General features: G+C 40.6%; 1 long non-coding RNA gene across 1 annotated transcript in view; it reads left to right on the forward strand.

Moving 5' to 3' along the window:
- The first annotated feature begins 8905 nt into the window (after window positions 1-8905).
- The window catches only part of LOC107985703 (uncharacterized), a 31957-nt gene continuing 22731 nt past the window's right edge, over window positions 8906-18131 (forward strand). The window contains exons 1-2 of the long non-coding RNA XR_001755968.1: window positions 8906-9048; window positions 11345-11475. This is a non-coding gene — a long non-coding RNA (uncharacterized LOC107985703). The remainder of the gene's footprint in view (window positions 9049-11344; window positions 11476-18131) is intronic.

Below are 18131 nucleotides of genomic sequence, written 5' to 3' on the forward strand. Positions count from 1 at the left end.
ATGAGCTGCTAATCCTTGAAGAAGATATGGGAGGTCAGGATCAGAAAAGAAAAAGATCAATATGGACCAGACTGGCATGATCTAAGAAGGCTGTGCGGAGCAAGCAGGACACTGAAACAGCCTTGAATTGAGAAAGGCTTGGGCAATCAGCAAGCTTGAAAATGTAAAGACAGGAATATGCATGCATACAACAGTGACAAGAATACTACTGGCTGAACTTACCTTTTCATGGTTCTGAGAGCCAGAAAAGGGAACTTGGACTTGAGTCCAAAAATAATGGAAGGTTCTCCAAGCAAAACAAAAGTTATAAAACTACTAATATTTGTATGCGGTCTTAGAAAAATGTCACATGCATTTCTATTGATATTCCTTGTCCTCACCACTTGAGATTGTTATGTCTGTGTTAGAAGGAGGAAATTGAGGTTTAGGGAGTTTTAGGGCTTGCTCCACTGACCCAGTGACTATAGGGAGAGGCCAGTTTAGCTAGGATCAGCACAGATGGGTGTTCAAGAGCAGGCACTCTGGAGCCAGCATGCCCCCGTTTGAAACCCAGCTCTGCCACTTACTAGCTGTGTGACACTGAGCCAGTCATTTAACTTCTCCAGGGCTCAGTTTTCTCATCTGAAACAAAGAGACAATGATTATATATAACTCAGAGTGTGGTTGTGAGTATCAGTGAGTTAATACTTAAAAAATAACATATATTTGTTGTACAATAAAAGGTGCCAAAGAGATAATTTGAAACGAGTTATGACTGAGTTTTTACCCACATCCTGTCCACTCCATCACTGAGTTTCACTGGATAAACAGAGACGCATTGAGTTGTCTGGCTGAAAGAGTGATCTGAACATTTGGGCAGAGAGGAGGCTGAGTTCTAGGAAGCTGCTATGGTAGTTCAGGGATAAGAAAACGAACCCCTGCGATTAGGGAAATGAAGAGAAGATAGAGGAAACCCTGCTTCTATGTTCAACCACAGGCTATCCACAAGCTGGGAGGACAGATTGATTTCTTTTTCTCTTTTCTTTATGCATCTTTCTGTTCTTATTTAACATTACATCTCAAAGATCTTTCCATATCAGCATAAACAGAACTATTGCTTTTTAATAGCAGCTTTTCTTTTTTTCTTCTTTCCTTCATTCTTTTCTATTTATAATTGACAGACAATAATTGTACATATTTATGGCGTAGAGCGTGCTGTTTCAACACATGTATACATTGTATAATGATCGAATCAGGATAGATTGCATATCCATCACTTTAAACATTAATTTCTTTGTAGTGATGACATTCAAAATCCTCTCTTCTGCCTCTCTTGAAATATATACTGAATTGTTATTAGCTATAGTCACCTTACTGTCTAATAAAGCACCAGAATTTATTCTTCCTGTCTGACTATATCATTTACCTCTCATGCAAACTTTTCCAGCCCCAATTTCACCTACCCTCCCCAATCTCTGGTAACCACTATTTTACTCTCTAATTCTATGAGATCAATGTTTCTAGATTCAACATAAAAGTGAAATCATGCAGTATTTATCTTTCTGTGCTGGGTGTTTTCACTTAACATGATGTCCTTCAGGTTCATCCATATTGCTGCAAATGACAGGATTTTATTCTGTTTTATGGCTGAATAGTATTCCACTGTGTATATACCACATTTTCTTAATCCATTCATCCACAGATGGCCTCTTAGGTCGATTCCCTATATTGGCTATTGTGAATAGTGTTGCAATGAACATGGGCCGATATATCGCAGATATATCTTCAATATACTGATTTCCTTTCCTTTGGCTATATACCCAGTAATGACATTGCTAGATCATATGGTAGTTTGATTTTTAGTTTTTGGAGGACCCTCTCTGTTATTTTCCATATTGGCTGCACCATTTTACATTTCCACCAACAGAGCACAAGTGTTCCCCTTTCTCTGCACCTTCGCCAGCGTCTGTTATTTTCTGTTTGTTAATAGCCAGTCTAACTGGAGTAAGGTGATAACTCATTGTGGTTTTGAGTTACATTTCCCTGATGATTAGTGATACTATACATTTTTTTCATATACCTGTTGGCCATTTGTATGTCTTCTTTTTAAGAAATGTGTATTCGGGTCTTTTGCCAATTTTTAAATTGGATTATTTGTTGTTTTGCTATTGAGTTGTTTGAATAAGATTGATCTTTTAGAAAGCCATATTTAGTAACATGTCCATTTTTTATAATCAGCAGATTCTAAGCATAATAATATTAGTATTCTCTAAGGGAAAGGCATAAGGCAAATGGATTTTGAAAAAGGACTATTTTCTTCATGGATTCTTAAGGGAGAGAACCTTTTATTTATTTATTTTATTTTATTTTATTATTATACTTTAAGTTCTAGGGTACATGTGCACAACATGCAGGTTTGTTACATATGTATACATGTGCCATGTTGGTGTGCTGCACCCATTAACTCGTCATTTACAATAGGTATTTCTCCTAATGCTATCCCTCCCCCCTCCCCCCACCCCACGACAGGCCTCGGTGTTCCCCACCCTGTGTCCAAGTGTTCTCATTGTTCAATTCCCATCTATGAGTGAGAACATGTGGTGTTTGGTTTTCTGTCCTTGTGATAGTTTGCTCAGAATGATGGTTTCTAGCTTCATCCATGTCCCAACAAAGGACATGAACTCATCCTTTTTTACGGCTGCATAGTATTCCATTGTGTATATGTGCCACATTTTCTTAATCCAGTCTATCATTGTTGGACATTTGGGTTGGTTCCAAGTCTTTGCTATTGTGAATAATGCCGCAATAAACATACGTGTGCATGTGTCTTTATAGCAGCATGATTTATAATCCTTTGGGTATATACCCAGTAATGAGATGGCTGGGTGAAATGGTATTTCTAGTTCTAGATCCCTGAGGAATTGCCACACTGTCTTCCAAATGACTGAACTAGTTTAGAGTAAGGGAGAGAACCTTGAACGGGTTTGGTTATTAGATGAGAAACCTGAGGCCACCTGACGAAGAATTTCAGCCTTACACAAGATTCACGTAGGCCATCTAGGCCTTAGATATGTGCGGAGCCAACTTCAGGGGCATATAATCTGTGCAGTTGTGCAGAGTCTCAAGCTTAGAAGTCTCAAGCTCACATTTGGTTTAATGCTCTGCTCCTCTGATGGTTCTTGAAATTATGAATAGCTTTTGAACAAGGGACTCCACATTTTTAATTTTCACTCGGCCTCACAATTTATGTAACCCTTCCTAGGTCTATGACACCTGTGACTCAATTAACCTGCCACAAATTCCTCTTGCCTAAGGCAGATCTATTTCTAATAGGACCATTACCTTATGAACATCCCACATTCTGTCGTTTTTCTGACTATCTGTGTTTTATCACATTGTCCTCTCAGACGAGGTATTGAACTAAATGGAAGTGTGGATGTTTCTCCTTTAAACACTCTTTAAATACGCTTTCTCCTTAAGTGCTCTTTATTCATGTTTTACTCACCTTTTTAGCTAATTCAGACTGCGTATGTGTGTGTGTGTGTGTTTAAGAAAAGTAAAAGCATCCGTGCTAAAGCAGCAGCAGTGGGGGGCAATGCAGCTTTTCTGTTCTGTGCAAAGTCTGTTGTTATCTCAATAGTGCAGAGCTGTTGAGAGTAGCTGGATGATTTTGCAATGTAAGAAGAGCAATTTAGTTTTTCTAGGGCAGGTAAAAAATGGCTTGCATTATTTGAGGAGGCTTTGTAAGAAAGGAATTGTGTACTTTTAAAAACTCTCCATTTACCTCTGTCACCTATGCTGTGGCCACAAGAATAACTTCAAGTGGGGCCAGATTTTACTCAGCAGAGCAGCCTCGAAAGTGAAGGACGACGAAGGGAGCAGAGTTTTCTTCATTTGAGAACATAAAGAAAAAGGAGCATTTTGAGGGGAAGAGAACTTGGAAAAGTTGACGCAATACATTACAGCAGGTGTAGAAATGATGGAATCCTGATTCACAGGATGGATATTTTGGTTTCATTCTATTGCTTTATTATAGGTAAAATTGTTTCAAAAGGCTTTGAGAATTTCTATTAAATGGCATCCGGATAAGTTTTCTTAATTACTCATAGTAAAACTCCTTAAACAGTAAATGAAAAAGGTCACATTAGGACATTATTGTACAAGCAAAGACTCCCCCAATGCCCATGCAAAGATTTCTAACTAGCATTTGTCCCACACATAGGAGGAGTTCACAGGCAAACCTCACAGCTGCCTTTGAAGCTGGCATGTTTGGAACCCTAAGCCACTGGATTGCATATCAGTCTTCTGTTTTCACAAGACCTAAAACCGTGTGTCTCACTCAGAATGCAAATAAGTCATAGGGACAGCATTGCCTTGATTTACGGGTTTGGTCTTTTTGACCTGAAAACACATCAGTTTATTGAAGGGCTGTGTAAGCACTGGTGTGACTTAGGCAGTTCAGACTGTATGTTGGGCTCTACGGTTAGGGCTTACATTTATTTATGTATTTATGTTTAAATAAAAGCACTCAGCACATTGTCCATTGATTCCTTAATCTGACAAAATCCCAATAGTGCCAAGTTGTGCAGAGGCCTCGAGCCTGGAGGAGAGGTAAGCTATACCGCTGGGTTGGCTGCTTTGTTACTTCAAGCATGGAAGGGTGGACTCAGGCACCAGAAGCCTCTTTCATCGAGCTCTGGGGCTTGTCTGATGGCTACAGATTCAGAAAGCTTTGAATCGGATTTAGATTCAATTGCTAAAAGTTGCTGAATCACAGTAGAGAGCTAGCTTGTGACTTATAAAACTTCTGGCATTATTTGTTTTGTTTTATTTTGTTTCTTTCCCTAATAACCTTAATGTTACTGAATTTCATTCATGATTGCTACAAACGATCAAACCAAGTAATGATTATGGAAATAAACTTTAAAAGCTGATTTGGTGAATAAGTACATAACTCTCTGACTTAATTCTTAAAACCACAAATCAAGAATTCCTTATGTTTATTTTTAGTTATCCTTAGAACTGGTAGATTAAAAACTGCAGTGTGACTTTTTTTAAAACATAACATATCTTATATTGCCAAAGGCTATTTTTTCTGTAAGTAGTAATGAGATCAAAGTCTCTCCAAATCTGTCATATACATTGAACAAAAATGGTCCTAAGACTAGCCGTGATTTAAAAATGCACAATTCTTCTTTAAAAATTGTGCCATCATTCAAATAATACTAAATTGATCCTGTGAATTAAATTTTAGATGAAGAAATTTCCAGTTTTGTTAATTACACACTTTTTACCTACAGCTGGTAACTTTGTTTTTAAACCATGCTGCCCCGAGATACTTGTAAATCTCACCTGATCTTCATAAAATTATAAAATCAAGCACAATTAATAGGAAAATATATTCCTTCTCATTTTTTTGGAGGTGACCAGAAGTCTGGATAAAATAACTTGATTTTTTTTTTTTCATATGGTAAACACTGACAAGAGCAAGTGTGGGAAGGAGATTGAGATATGGGTTATCACTTTATTGCTCCCAGGAACAAAGAAAAGAACTTTTCACTCCTAGCTATTATGCAACAAACTTTTTTTTCCAGCATTCTCATTCATAATGTTTTCTGGAGTGTAACGTCTGTCTTTAAAAGGTTTAAGCTAATGCCCACACATGCCAACTTAAAAATACTTTCCCATTTATTACATTTCCTTTTCCCAGACCTCTGGTAAACTTAAGAGGCCTCATTATACTATATGGAAATAAAGAGATTCCCAAATGGGGAAGGACTGTTTTGAATGCCGACTAAGGTCCATAGCCGGGGGAAATAATTAACTCATTAACTCATTCATTCATTCATGTAACAAACATTTATTAAACACTATGCAAAACTCTGGCTCTAATCCTCAAGGAGATCACAATCAAGTGGTGCAGAAAGTCATGCATAAAACGAATGCTAATGCAGAGTGGTAAATGCCATGAAAGAAGGATGCACCCACCAAGTGCCTTGAGAAGGCAGAGGCCGCAGCCACTGACTCACTCTAGGTAGGAAGACCTAGCAAAAGTGCACTCAAGGCCAGGCGCAGTGGCTCACGCCTATAAGCCTAGCGCTGTGGGATGCAGAGATAGGCTGATTGCCTGAGCTCGGGAGTTCGAGACCAGCCTGGGCAACATGGTGAAACCCCACCTCTACTATAAATACAAAAAAAAAAAAAAAAAAAAAAATCAGCCAGGCATAGTGCCTGTAATCCCAGCTATGCGGGAGGCTGAGGCACGCGAATTGCTTGAACCCAGGAGGCAGAGGTTGCAGCGAGCCGAGACCGTGCCACCGCACTCCAGCCTGGGCAACAAAGTGAAACTCTGTCCAAAATAAAAAAAAAAAAAAAAAGCACTCACACTAGACATACAAGGATGAGTAGAATTGTGTTGGCTGAAAAGGTGGAAAAGAGAACATCAGACTCAAAAACAGAGACCTGTGCACCAGACATCTGGTGTAACTACAGCATAGGATGTAAAGGGAGAACAGCAAGGCTGAGACTGATATGGTAGGCTGCAAGCATATTGTGAAGGGCCTTAAATGTCACTCTAAGGAGACTGAAGGCAATGTGAGTTTGAGTTGGGTAGTGACATGATCAAATTTGTATTTAGATAAAATTGTTGTAGTGCCTTGGATATTAAACTAGCGTAGGGAGAAAACAGAAGTGAGAAGCACAGTTAAGTCAGAAGAGTAGCTGGAGCAGCTGAAACCAGGCATATGGAAGTCCGAATGAGAAAGAAAACCAAAGAATTAGAGAACCTATTATCACGTATCTTTATAAGATGAGAAAAAGGGAGAGGTCAAATCCTTCTAGAATCTTGTATATTTCTATCATACAGGATTCTCACATATATTTGACTAAGGCTTTGTATAATTAATAAAGTCTCATCATAAAAAGCATTTACTAAATCCATATCCCCATCTGTGTGGAATTCCAAAGTACCTATGAGAAACATAATATTTTTGCTTCTAAACATGCACTGAAGGCTTTTGTAGATAAATGTCCTGCTTCGGAAAAAAAAAAAAAAAGCTATGCTTCCATGAGAATTACCTACAAATGCCCTAATTCATGAATGTGCTAACAATTCCTTTATATCATGAACATTACCTGGTATCTGTTATTTAGTATGGGCATGTAGGTGATGACTGTATGAATATATAAATGCTACATGGTTAGAAGCTCTGCAACATGTGAAATTATTGTAAGGCTGAGACTACTTTTAGAGGGAAGGTCAATATAATTTGGATGTCAGTCATGTCTTACACACAGCAGTAGTTGGAAAGCATTCAAGTAGATAATTAGAATTTGGTTATAACTTAAATTTGTTTTCTTCTCAACTTTGTTACTTAACAGGGCTTGTGTATGTTACACTGAAAGTGGCCTTCCTAAAAACTCTGGGTCTGTTATGATTTCTTTATTAAATGATTTCTATGATGTATTCATTATGTCACTAAACCAACATTCAAGTGCCCATATCTCGCTAAGCTCTGGAATTCTGCGTAGACAAGGCAGATAAAGTGATGATCCTTGTAAAGGTCAGGGGTGTGTGGAAAAACACTACCTAGGAATATATTCTTCTTTGTTTGGTTTTAAATCACAGCCATGAAGTTGTCCAAAGAACTGGTGCCAAAATCATTCATGTATGCAGCTGGTATTTACTGGGCACCTCCTCTATGCTGGGCACTACGTCTGGTGCCGAGCAAATAGTGGTAAATAAAATAGATGATGTTTCTGCTCTCATGGAGCTTACTGTCACCTAGTGAGCACTTGAAATACAGTGTGCTGAGTGCTAACCTAGGGTTAACTAGAGACAGAAAGTTCCCAGAATATAATGGACACTTGAGATTTATATGCATGGATGTATGAGAGAGAGAGAGAGAAACAGAGAGAGACAGAGACAGAGACAAAGACAGAGACAGTGAGAAAGAGAGAGAAGTAAAGATGTGCTTATCTCAGTTTTAACTAAATATTACCACATCCCCTCAGTCATCCCTGTAAAAAAGCAAAAAAGAATGAAACAGGAAAGGGGAAAAAGAAATGGGAAAGTTACATTTCTTCCCTGAAGGCTTCGTTGATTCCTCCAAATGGAAGTGACTCCTCAATAATTACGCCTTTTGATTCTGGACCATTTCTTCTAATTTACGAGCATATTTTTTTCTTGACTCTCTTAAAAATAAAGAGAACCCCATATAATAAGTCATTTTTTATTGCTACTTTTAGATAAATCAGGGAAGCATCTTTAAGGTTTGTTCTTTCTAAATGCTCTTAGAAAAAAATATTCAGCAGAAAGCTGTGTGAAGACTGAAAAAAAAGATGAGGACTATGACCAGTTCAAGCTTCATTTTCTTTGATTATTTATGCTCTTTTTTCTTCACCTTTGCCTTCCATGTAATCAGCCTCATCCTGTAGCACGCTAGAAGATGCCGATTACATACAAGTCACAGGGTAATTTAGCCTTTTGACCTTCTTTGAGCTCTTATAAATCTTTCCACTGCTGGCAGGCCAGGGTTTTGTTCTTCCCTCAGCAACAAAAAGCTGTTGCTTATAAGCTGCCTCACACAGCAGCAGAAAGGAAACAGTGAAAACTGTGTGTGAGGCTGCCTGGGGGAGGGGTGGCTGTGACCTTGGCCTTTCTGAGAATGTGGGGAAGAGGAGCAGTTCCCATTTTCCCAGTGCTAGCCGCCCTAATTATGCCAGAAGCGATGTTGGTGACAAATTGGAATGCAGTTATCAGTTGTGAGTGTAAAATGAGGAGGTTGGACAAGTTGATCTCAAAGACTCTTTCTGGCTCTCACATTCCAGGATTCTAAATATGTCTCACGCATGATAACTTGAAAAGAAAATTGAACAGGACGATGAATTAGGCTTATGCATGAGAAGCACCCTGGTGGATATCAGCCATTCACAAATCACAGCTATGGACAGCCTCTCCTGCATCCAGATGTTGAACAGGGGTGGTTCAGTCTAGGTTGTGCTAAATAAATAGGGAGAGCCTGACCACCATACTACATAAAGCGGGGGTGCTCTGACCTCAGGCAGAAGGTAAGCAGGCAGGAAAAAAATTTCAGCATTTGGTTTCTATTAACATAAGCCTGAGAACATTTCACCTTTGTAATCACATAGCTGTTTAAAAGACTCCTAATATTCAAGATGTGCATGTATGTGTGTAGGGGGATGGTTCTGAAAAGATTTTCTGAAGTATCTTTGGTGATCTTATCCAACCAAGTGATATGTGTTTTTCTTCTGGGTTCTGCTTAGGATACCATTAAATACCACCATTTTTTTTTTCTTTGCCTTCTTTATCTTTCCTTTTTTTTTCTTCTTTCTTTTTTGAGACGGAGTCTCGCTCTGTCACCCAGGCTAGAGTGCAGTGGCATGATCTCTGGTCACTGCAACCTCCACCTCCCGGGTTTAAGCAATTCTCCTGCCTCAGCCTCCTGAGTAGGTGGGATTATAGGTGCCCACCACCACACCCAGTTAATTTTTGTATTTTTTTAGTAGAGATGGTTTTGTTTTGTTTTGTTTTGTTTTTAGTAGAGATGGGTTTCTTTTTTAGTAGAGGCCGGATTTCACCAGGTTTCACCTGACTTAAGGTCAGGCTGGTCTGGAACTCCTGACCTCAGGTGATCCGCCCACCTCGGCGTCCCAAAGTGCTGGGATTACAGGCGTGAGCCACCACATCTGGCCTCTGTTTGCTTTCTGTGGTTAGTTAGCATCATCCTAACTGCTCTCATTCTTTCTTTCTTTTTTCTTCCTGTATTAATTTTAATGTGCAAAGATGAGTCCTCTTACAGCTTGATCCATTCTTGTTAAGACTTGAATATGAAGGAAATATATTGGGCAACTATGGGGTGTTTTATTCTTTTGATTGATCCAACATGGACATATGCCCATCTTAATGCAAATAATAATAATAACAAACAATTATATAGCACTTAATTTCTGCCATACAATATTCTGAGTGCTTTGCATGTATAAATTCATGCCATGTTCACAACCACCCTATCAGTGAGCTTGTGTGTATGTGCGTGTGCACATTCTTGTGAGTGTTTTCCCCCATGCTGGTTCGTATTTGTGGTGGTTATAATGTTTTGTGGTTTATTTTTAGTTTGGAGTTATGAGGGGGAAAAAAAAAGAAAAATTCCCTTCATTGATATATTTCTCTGCTCTCTTATCATGGCGCTCAGCCCCGCCCTGGCAACCTTTTATGTCCCCCCAAAATTTTGGCAGTGTCAAGAGCCCAAGCAGCCATGCTACTGGGAGCAAGAGCAGAGGCAAAACACCACGTGCCCGTCAGAGCGCTGGTTTGTCTGATATGCAAGGTCCAGCAGGCTTCATGTGGCACAGAGCTTTTGCTGTTCCCATTTTCAACTCGCTTACGGAGATGTACAGCCAAGGGAGATGCTCATTGTAGAAGAAACATAGTGTTGTTCTCCTCCAAGTGCCTGAGAGCATCCCTTACTGAATGTCCTGCAGCAGCCCAGATAGTAACCCAGAGTATTTGAAGGCAACACTGTCATGACGCAGAGCTTCAGGACAGTCACAGATCACACTGTAAGGTTCTGGAACAAAGGAACCAAGTTTTTTCAATTTTCTGGGAAGGGTTTTTGGCAATCTGCATAGCACACTTGTTATGGTCTTACCAAGCACTTTAAAAAAAGCACGTCTATCCACGCAACATTTATAAAAGCCAACGTACTTGATGATGTTTAAAGTCTCTGGACAGAATATGAAAACCAGGCCTGAACTGTCACTAGGAAAGTGAGAGAAAACTCAACATTATTTTGTGAGACACTAATGATCTCTTACCTCTTTAGTGAGAGGTTTGGACGTTCAATTTGACTATCTAATTTACCCTGGCAACTGGAGCACAGAGGCCTCATCCTTCTGCCAGAGAGTAGCATTAAACAATAGTGGTTGTGTGTTCTAATGAGTTTTTTTTATGATTATGATTCCGTCATACCAACCCCACCCCCTGCCTGAGCACAAAAGACTTCAGGGGATATGGCAGACATCACATATGCCACTGCTCCCCAGTGTCAATACTATGCATAAACTTCGGATGTTGCACGATGCAGCCTGTCTTCCTCTGGGCATGAACGTCTGCGGAGCCACTGTGTGTGTGAACATGTTTTTATTCCAAAAAGCTTCTCATTCAGTGGCTACTGAACTTCGTTGATAAGCCACACTGGAAAGGGAAGCTGGCATGCAAGTGGTAGCATCTTGCAGGCAGCACTGTGACATTTACTTTTCCCTCGCCATACCCATAAAAATCCCCAGATTAAATTTGGTTTGCCTTTTATTTCTTCTGACACCCTATGCTGGCTTTTCATTGCAGAGACTTTTTATGAGCACGTTGGACGTGTGAATGGGCTGCCAACAGATGAAGTAAAAATACTTCCATCACTCTCCCTACCACCTCCAAGAAGCAGATGAAAATACTTGCAGGCCAGGGCTGAAATCTACACAGTATGTCAACTGGTGTGCTTTCCTTAAATGCAGCCAAAACAGACAGGCACAGTGTAGACAGAAATTTTTGGTTACTTCAGAGGAAAGTAAATACATATTTTAGTTTTTAGCAACAATAGAGCAGAAATGTATCCAACATTGTCTTGCTAATTTCAAACCACTGTAGAGAAATGTTTGTTTGTGCTTGCTAATGCTCAGTATAGACAGAAACACAGCATGCATAGAACTGGTTCCATGGGAGTCATTAAAAGGCATGCTGAGAATATGTGCTAAGAATAAGACACAATTCTTTGTGCCTCTTCTTTGGCAAAACTCATTACAGGAAGTGATTTCAAAGTCAAAGGTATGACATATTCATTCCTCCGGGAAAAGAGAGGGTTGAATGGCAAGTGTCTTCCTTTTTTGTGTCTTTCATGATTGCACCTGTGGCTGCAATAGCAGGAAGACATACAGCAAGCAGGCAGGCATGATGAGGGAGAAAAGAATCAGGGCAAGAAAAGACCAGCCTAACATGAGATTGATGATCACAATGGCTGTACAATTTAAATCGCACATGATCCAATAGCATAACATGTTTGTTTTAGAAAATGCCTTCTTTGCAATATGACATGGTGGAAAAGAGTCTTGAAGTTAGAAAACATTTGTCCCAATCTTGGTTCTGCCACATCCTCTGTGATCTGGAGCAAGTTTGCCCTCTCGGTTCTCAGTTTCCTCAACTGGAAATTGAGCATAATAATTGCACCTACTACACAGTGGTTTAAGGGTTACTTACATTCACTCATATATGTCGAAGTGCCTAGTAGAGCGCTTGGCATTCAACAAGTGATTCACAATTTTTTCACATCTCAATGTAAGTAATGAGAAATCGCCCAATATCTTGCAGTGGGGCTTGACCAACTCATGAATATGCCAGGATATGAGCTTCAGTTTAATATATTTTGGTTGTTCCCAGAGCCATTGCCTCTCCGGCCAGGCTTTTGTTAACCTACAACAGCAATTTCCTGCTAAGTCTTAGTGTAAGGACCATCCTTTCTGTACACTTCTCATCTATTTTAGAAGACCACACGCTTGGAGTAGTGGTTACCAACTCTAGGGTCACATTAAAATCACAGGGGGAACCACGGATGCCCAGACCCTATGCACAGATTCTTATTCAACTTGTGTAGGATGGGTCTGTAGATATTTTTTTGCATTGGCATTTTAAACTGATCCTGAGGCAATTTTAGTAAGTAGCCAAAGTCAAGAATTGCTGATGTACAGGGTTTTCGTTGCTCTCCTCTATCTCCCACCCTCTTCCAGTAATAGTGAAGATGTGTTGTCTAAGGCGACCATAACCTCCTGCCTATTTCTTTCAGTCCAGGACTTTGCACAGTGCCTGGCATATAGTAAATGCTCCAATAATATCCGTTGAATGAATGAATGAATCACCAATGGTATATATGCTCACAAGATTTCTGATTGGTGTTAGTGAGTCATCAAGTGGAAAGGGGATAGACTTAGGAGTCAGAGAACAGTCACAAGCTTGGTGGGTTTTCATGGTTAAATCACTTACCTACTCAGAGCCTCAGTTACCCCATGTGTAAAATGAGAGGAGTAAACTAGAGGATTTCCAAGGGCCTTTAGAGCTCTAACACTGGTGTTCTACAAGTCTATGACAACCCATGGCACTAATAGCTATATTTCTGCTATCCTCATAAAATGACATGAACACGGGAAAGGGAGTTTAATGAATCTTGTAAAAAGCACTTTCTGGAACGAGAGAAGCCATTTTCATAACGGAGAGAATTTAATGGACTTAGCTTGTAAAGAAGCAATTTAGTAGCTTCTGTCCATTTGGAACAGTTGCCCATGCTAAGCAGAAAGAAAGGATAGGGAAACAAGTAATTCCTGAGCACCCACCTTCCCTCAGAGACTGAGTGTAGCCTCTGGAATTAAACTAAGTGGATCGAGACTGACCGCTCGGTGTCTTGGACCTGCTCCTTGGGGTCTGGTGAAGACGAAATGAGATAACACTCATAAAGCCCTTAGAACAGTGCCTGGCAAGTAGAAAGGATACAATAAATTTTAAAGAAAAAGTAAGAACAAGACAAAATCCAAATAAAACCCCCATGACTCTAGTGTACTGTTTGTCTCCATATTCCAATCACAGAAACTGAAGCTCAGGGAAATCAAATAAATACGCCCTCTGTGACACAGCTGGTAAATGGCAAATCTGAGTGTTCTAGTCAGTACCAGTAGCAAAAAAAAAAAAAAAAAAAAAAAAAAAAAGCCAGTGTGCTTGTCCTCATTCCTCATTGCTTTATTGGGATTCCTAACATGCCTAGGTCTGCTCTCAAACTCCCTACTGCTATTCATGCCTTCCTCACTTCAGTAGCCAGTGCTCGGGGTTCGCTCACTTCAGCAGCTTTCCTGAGTCCTTATAGGCTTGCTTTAGCTGTTGCTTCTCAGCTTTCCCCCATGGCCCCTTTCCAAGTGTCCTTCACCATGAAAGAGTAATAATGTTGTTTCTGCTTTTATACACAGAGCTACATTCATACAAGTACCTCTAGCTTTTAGCCCAACAAAAACCTCTACATAGGCAGAATTATCTATTCGTGCATCAAACCATAATGGCCTTTGCAAAGGAGAAACTTGTCTTTTAAAACTTATCCCAATGTCCTCCACAGCATCTAGCTCACGATGGGAGCTCAGTAAGTCTGGAGGAGGGCCTGAGCATATGTGCTTTTGAAACGGGAAAAATTCCCTTGTCCCCCTCAAAGGGCACGTGATGGGGGTGTGGCTCGCTTTTTCAGTGCCCCGCTTCTCAAACCTCTAGGGGAGCACGCAGACGGGCAGGCTGTGGGGTTCCGACCCCACCGCAGTGTCTAGGGGTGAATGTTTACAGCTCCTGAAGCCCCAGTGGGTATGTGTTACAGGGTGCTCTTTTCGTTTTGCCATCTATAGGTGGTTTGTGCTAACTCGCTCAATTAGGCCCTCTTTCTTGTAGCAAGGACAGAGGGCTTTCCGTATCCCGGGTTCTTGCCTTGGTGTACTGGAAGAATTGGATCACACCTGGGCTTGGAGAATGAGTACGAGGTTTTATTGAGTGGAGGTAGCTCAGGGTAAGTCAGAAGGGGATGGAGTGGAATCTGGCTACTCAGCGACCTGGGCTCTCCTCTGACTGACCCAGACAAACTCCACATCATTCTGCTTCTTCCAATCGGTGGCTTGGTGTCCAGCCGCCTGTGTGTTCCTCCGCTGATGTGCTCCTCTAGACGTCCAGCTGCCTCTGTATCTGCCTGCTAGGGTCCTCTCCGGTTTTTCTGTTCGTTTGTTTTTGTTTTGTTTTCTTTTGTTTTGTCTGAGACGGAGTCTCGCTCTGTCGCCAGGCTGGAGTGCAGTGGTGCGATCTCGGCTCACTGCAAGCTCCACCTCCCAGGTTCAAGCGATTCTCGTGCCTCAGCCTCCCGAGTAGCTGGGACTACAGGCGTGCGCCACCACGCCCAGCTAATTTTTGTATTTTTAGTAGAGACGGGGTTTCACCATGTTTGCCAGGACGGTCTCAATCTCCTGACCTCGTGATCCGCCGGCCTTGGGCTCCCAAAGTGCTGGAATTACAGGCGTGACCCACCGCGCCCAGCCAGTCTCCAGGTCTTTACAGGCACAGGATGGGGGTGTGGCAGGCCAGGGTGGTCTTGGGAAATGCAACATTTAGGCAAGAAACGCCTGTCCTCACCTAGGTACGTGGGGGCGGGGCCCTAGGCAAAGACCATGCCCTCCTCTACCCAGCACTTCCCTCCCCCACTTCCGTATCATTTAAAGGGACCATGCTCTTCCCTTCCCAGGACTTCCCTTCCCTATCACTTTGAAAGTTACCCAGGTGACATTACTATGTGCCCCTGGTGAAGACGCTCTAGATTCTAGTTCAAAACTCTCATTGTACAGTTGGGGAAACCGAGCCAAAGAGGAGTAGAAACTTATCAAAGGTTGTATTCAAAGGACTCAAAGCCAGGAAGCCTGATTTCAACTGCAGATCTCTTCCCTCTGACTGCCAGGCCAAAATCTGGGGAGTACCCACATTGTTCTACTTGGATAATCCAATCTGCATCATAGCCAAGCTGTTTTTGTGAAATTATCTGCTGTCTCGTGGCCCTCTGCTCCTTTTAGAGGTATCATTTTGGAGTAGTGAGGGGAGCACTCTCACAAGGAGGCGATGTATTATAGTAGTTAAGAATGTGGAATCTGTAGCCAGGTTTTAAATCCTGGCTTCATCACTTCCAACTTGTAGGTTATTGGGCAAGTTTCTTAACTTCCCGGATATTCAATATCCTCATGTGGAAAATTGGTATAAGAATGGTTGATATGATGAGTAAATGCGATCATGCATACAAAGTACTTTGAACAAGGCCTGACAAGTATTCAATTAATCTAATTAGTACTTTCATTTCATAATATATTTCAACTGTCTTTATCTCATCATTTCTCAACTTCAAGAAAATGATATTTACACTTTTCCCAGCTCTACTCTTGGTAAAATCATGCAGATCTGGTTGTATATACATTCAACTGCAACATAAAGCAGCAGGGCTCTAACTATTTATGAGACAAAATCCCAAGTTCTTTGCCACTCAATTCTGGTCAAAAGCTGAGTTGAAATGAACATCTCCTTATGTGGAAGAATTTCTAAGAGCAGACATGGTCCCTCCACTCTTCCAATACATCCCTGGATTCGAGTATGTCCGCAGATAGCTAGGCACATAGATGTAATCATCCTGCCCATCCAGCAGAATGTCTTTTCCCAAATTATGCTTTGGAATGATACTACACCTTTAACCTCTATTAAGAGTCGTGGTGGCCAGCTGCTGTGGCTCAGGCCTGTAATACCAGCACTTTGAGAGGCCAAGACAGGAGGATTACTTGAGTCCAGGAGTTTGAGACCAGTCTGGACAACAAAGTGAGATCTTATCTCTAAAAAAATGAAAAAGAAAGAAAAGAAAAAATTACTCAGGCACTGGGCATAGTGGCATGCACCTACAGTCCCAGCTACTTGGGAAGCTGAGGTGGGAGGATCAATTGAGCCTGGGAGGTAGAAGCCACAGTGAGCTACGATGGTGCCACTGCACTCCAGCCTGGGCAACAAAGTGAGTGCCTGTCCCAAAAAAAGGGCCATGGTAAATAAAAACCCACTGTAACTCATTGTTACATGTAGAGATAGTGTTCGAGACTTTAGTCATTAGATGACCAATACTACTGTATACATGGATGCCCGGGAAAAATTCCTGGCCTTTCTCTCTACAAAGAATGATTACATATCCATTGCATACTTAATATATTTCTACTTCATGGACATTGTGGATTTTGCAGCACATAGATCCTCTTTTTTTCCTAATGGCTGCTAGGACTCTTGGAGACAATTTTCTGGCCATATCCTTAGTAGATATGTAGAACATCATGATCAGCAATTGTAGTTCACACCTAGATCACTTTGGCACCAAACTTCTTTTCCCTTTCTTCTTTTATCCCTTCTTTTCATTTCAGCTACCAAGTCATAAATTTTACACATTCTTGTTTCTTTTTCAACATCTAATATCTGACTATGTAAGAGAGGAAAGAGAAAAGAAAGAAAGAAAGAAAGAAAGAAAGGTAAATAAATACAGAAGACTTTCTCTATTATTTAAAACTAAGCCCAGTTAGATTACGTACATTGGGATTTTCCCACAAGCCCAAATCCCACAACACAAGGGTGCATTTTCAGAACGCTTATGTAGGCATTCTATCTGAAAAGTCAAGAGCAATATTATGACTTATAAGAGAGGCCAGCCAGACATCTATCATGTTGCCTCAGACTCATGGGACCAACTCGGTTCACAGTATGTTTTCCTTCCCGGGCAGTGATGCCCTATGAAGACAACAAAGTAAGAGACATCCACCATTAAGGTGATTCTCCTTTCCAGCGTCTGGAGCTGTCCATCCTTTCCAGTTTCTCTGATGAATGGAAGTTTGAGGAGGAAATAACTTAGCACAATCCATATCGCATCACATTTTATTTGCTTACCGTTGCTGATGCTCAGAGATATTTTGAAGATAAAATCAGAAGCGTTACGTGTCTTCCCAAATCAATAGTTTAATACCTTGGTTACAGGTACCCCTACCATTAATCTCAGTCTGCTTATGAAGCTATGGGTGATACTTGACGTAGCAAGTAATAAGCATGCTTTTTCATTGGTTTGGGCTCAGCAAGACAAATATATATTTAGATGCACTTTATTTTAAAGAGATGAGAATCATCATCAGTCAATTAAATAAACTTATTTCTCTCAGAAATACTATTATATGCCACTTTTTAAAAGTAAATGAAACACTTGCAGCTAGCTTTATGGTGTGTTCAGTACATACTGACATATGACAAATTTAAATTTAAATACGTTGGCTATAGTACTATATATCAATTCACCAGTAATTCACCTTTAAGGTTTTCAGCTGTACAAAAGAAATAGTAACCTTATCGGGAAAGTCACTAGGCTATGCTTCAGAACTTATCAATGTGGAGTGGATTTTGTAAATGTCTATAAATGTTAACCATTAATTTTCTTAATGCCATGATAATCTGCAATTTAGAAACCAAGCAGGTAAAATGCTTCTTTAAAAGCTAGGTGCATGAAATCATATTCATTATG

This window comes from Homo sapiens, chromosome X (assembly GCF_000001405.40).
Source record: "Homo sapiens chromosome X, GRCh38.p14 Primary Assembly".
Lineage (NCBI taxonomy): Eukaryota > Metazoa > Chordata > Mammalia > Primates > Hominidae > Homo > Homo sapiens.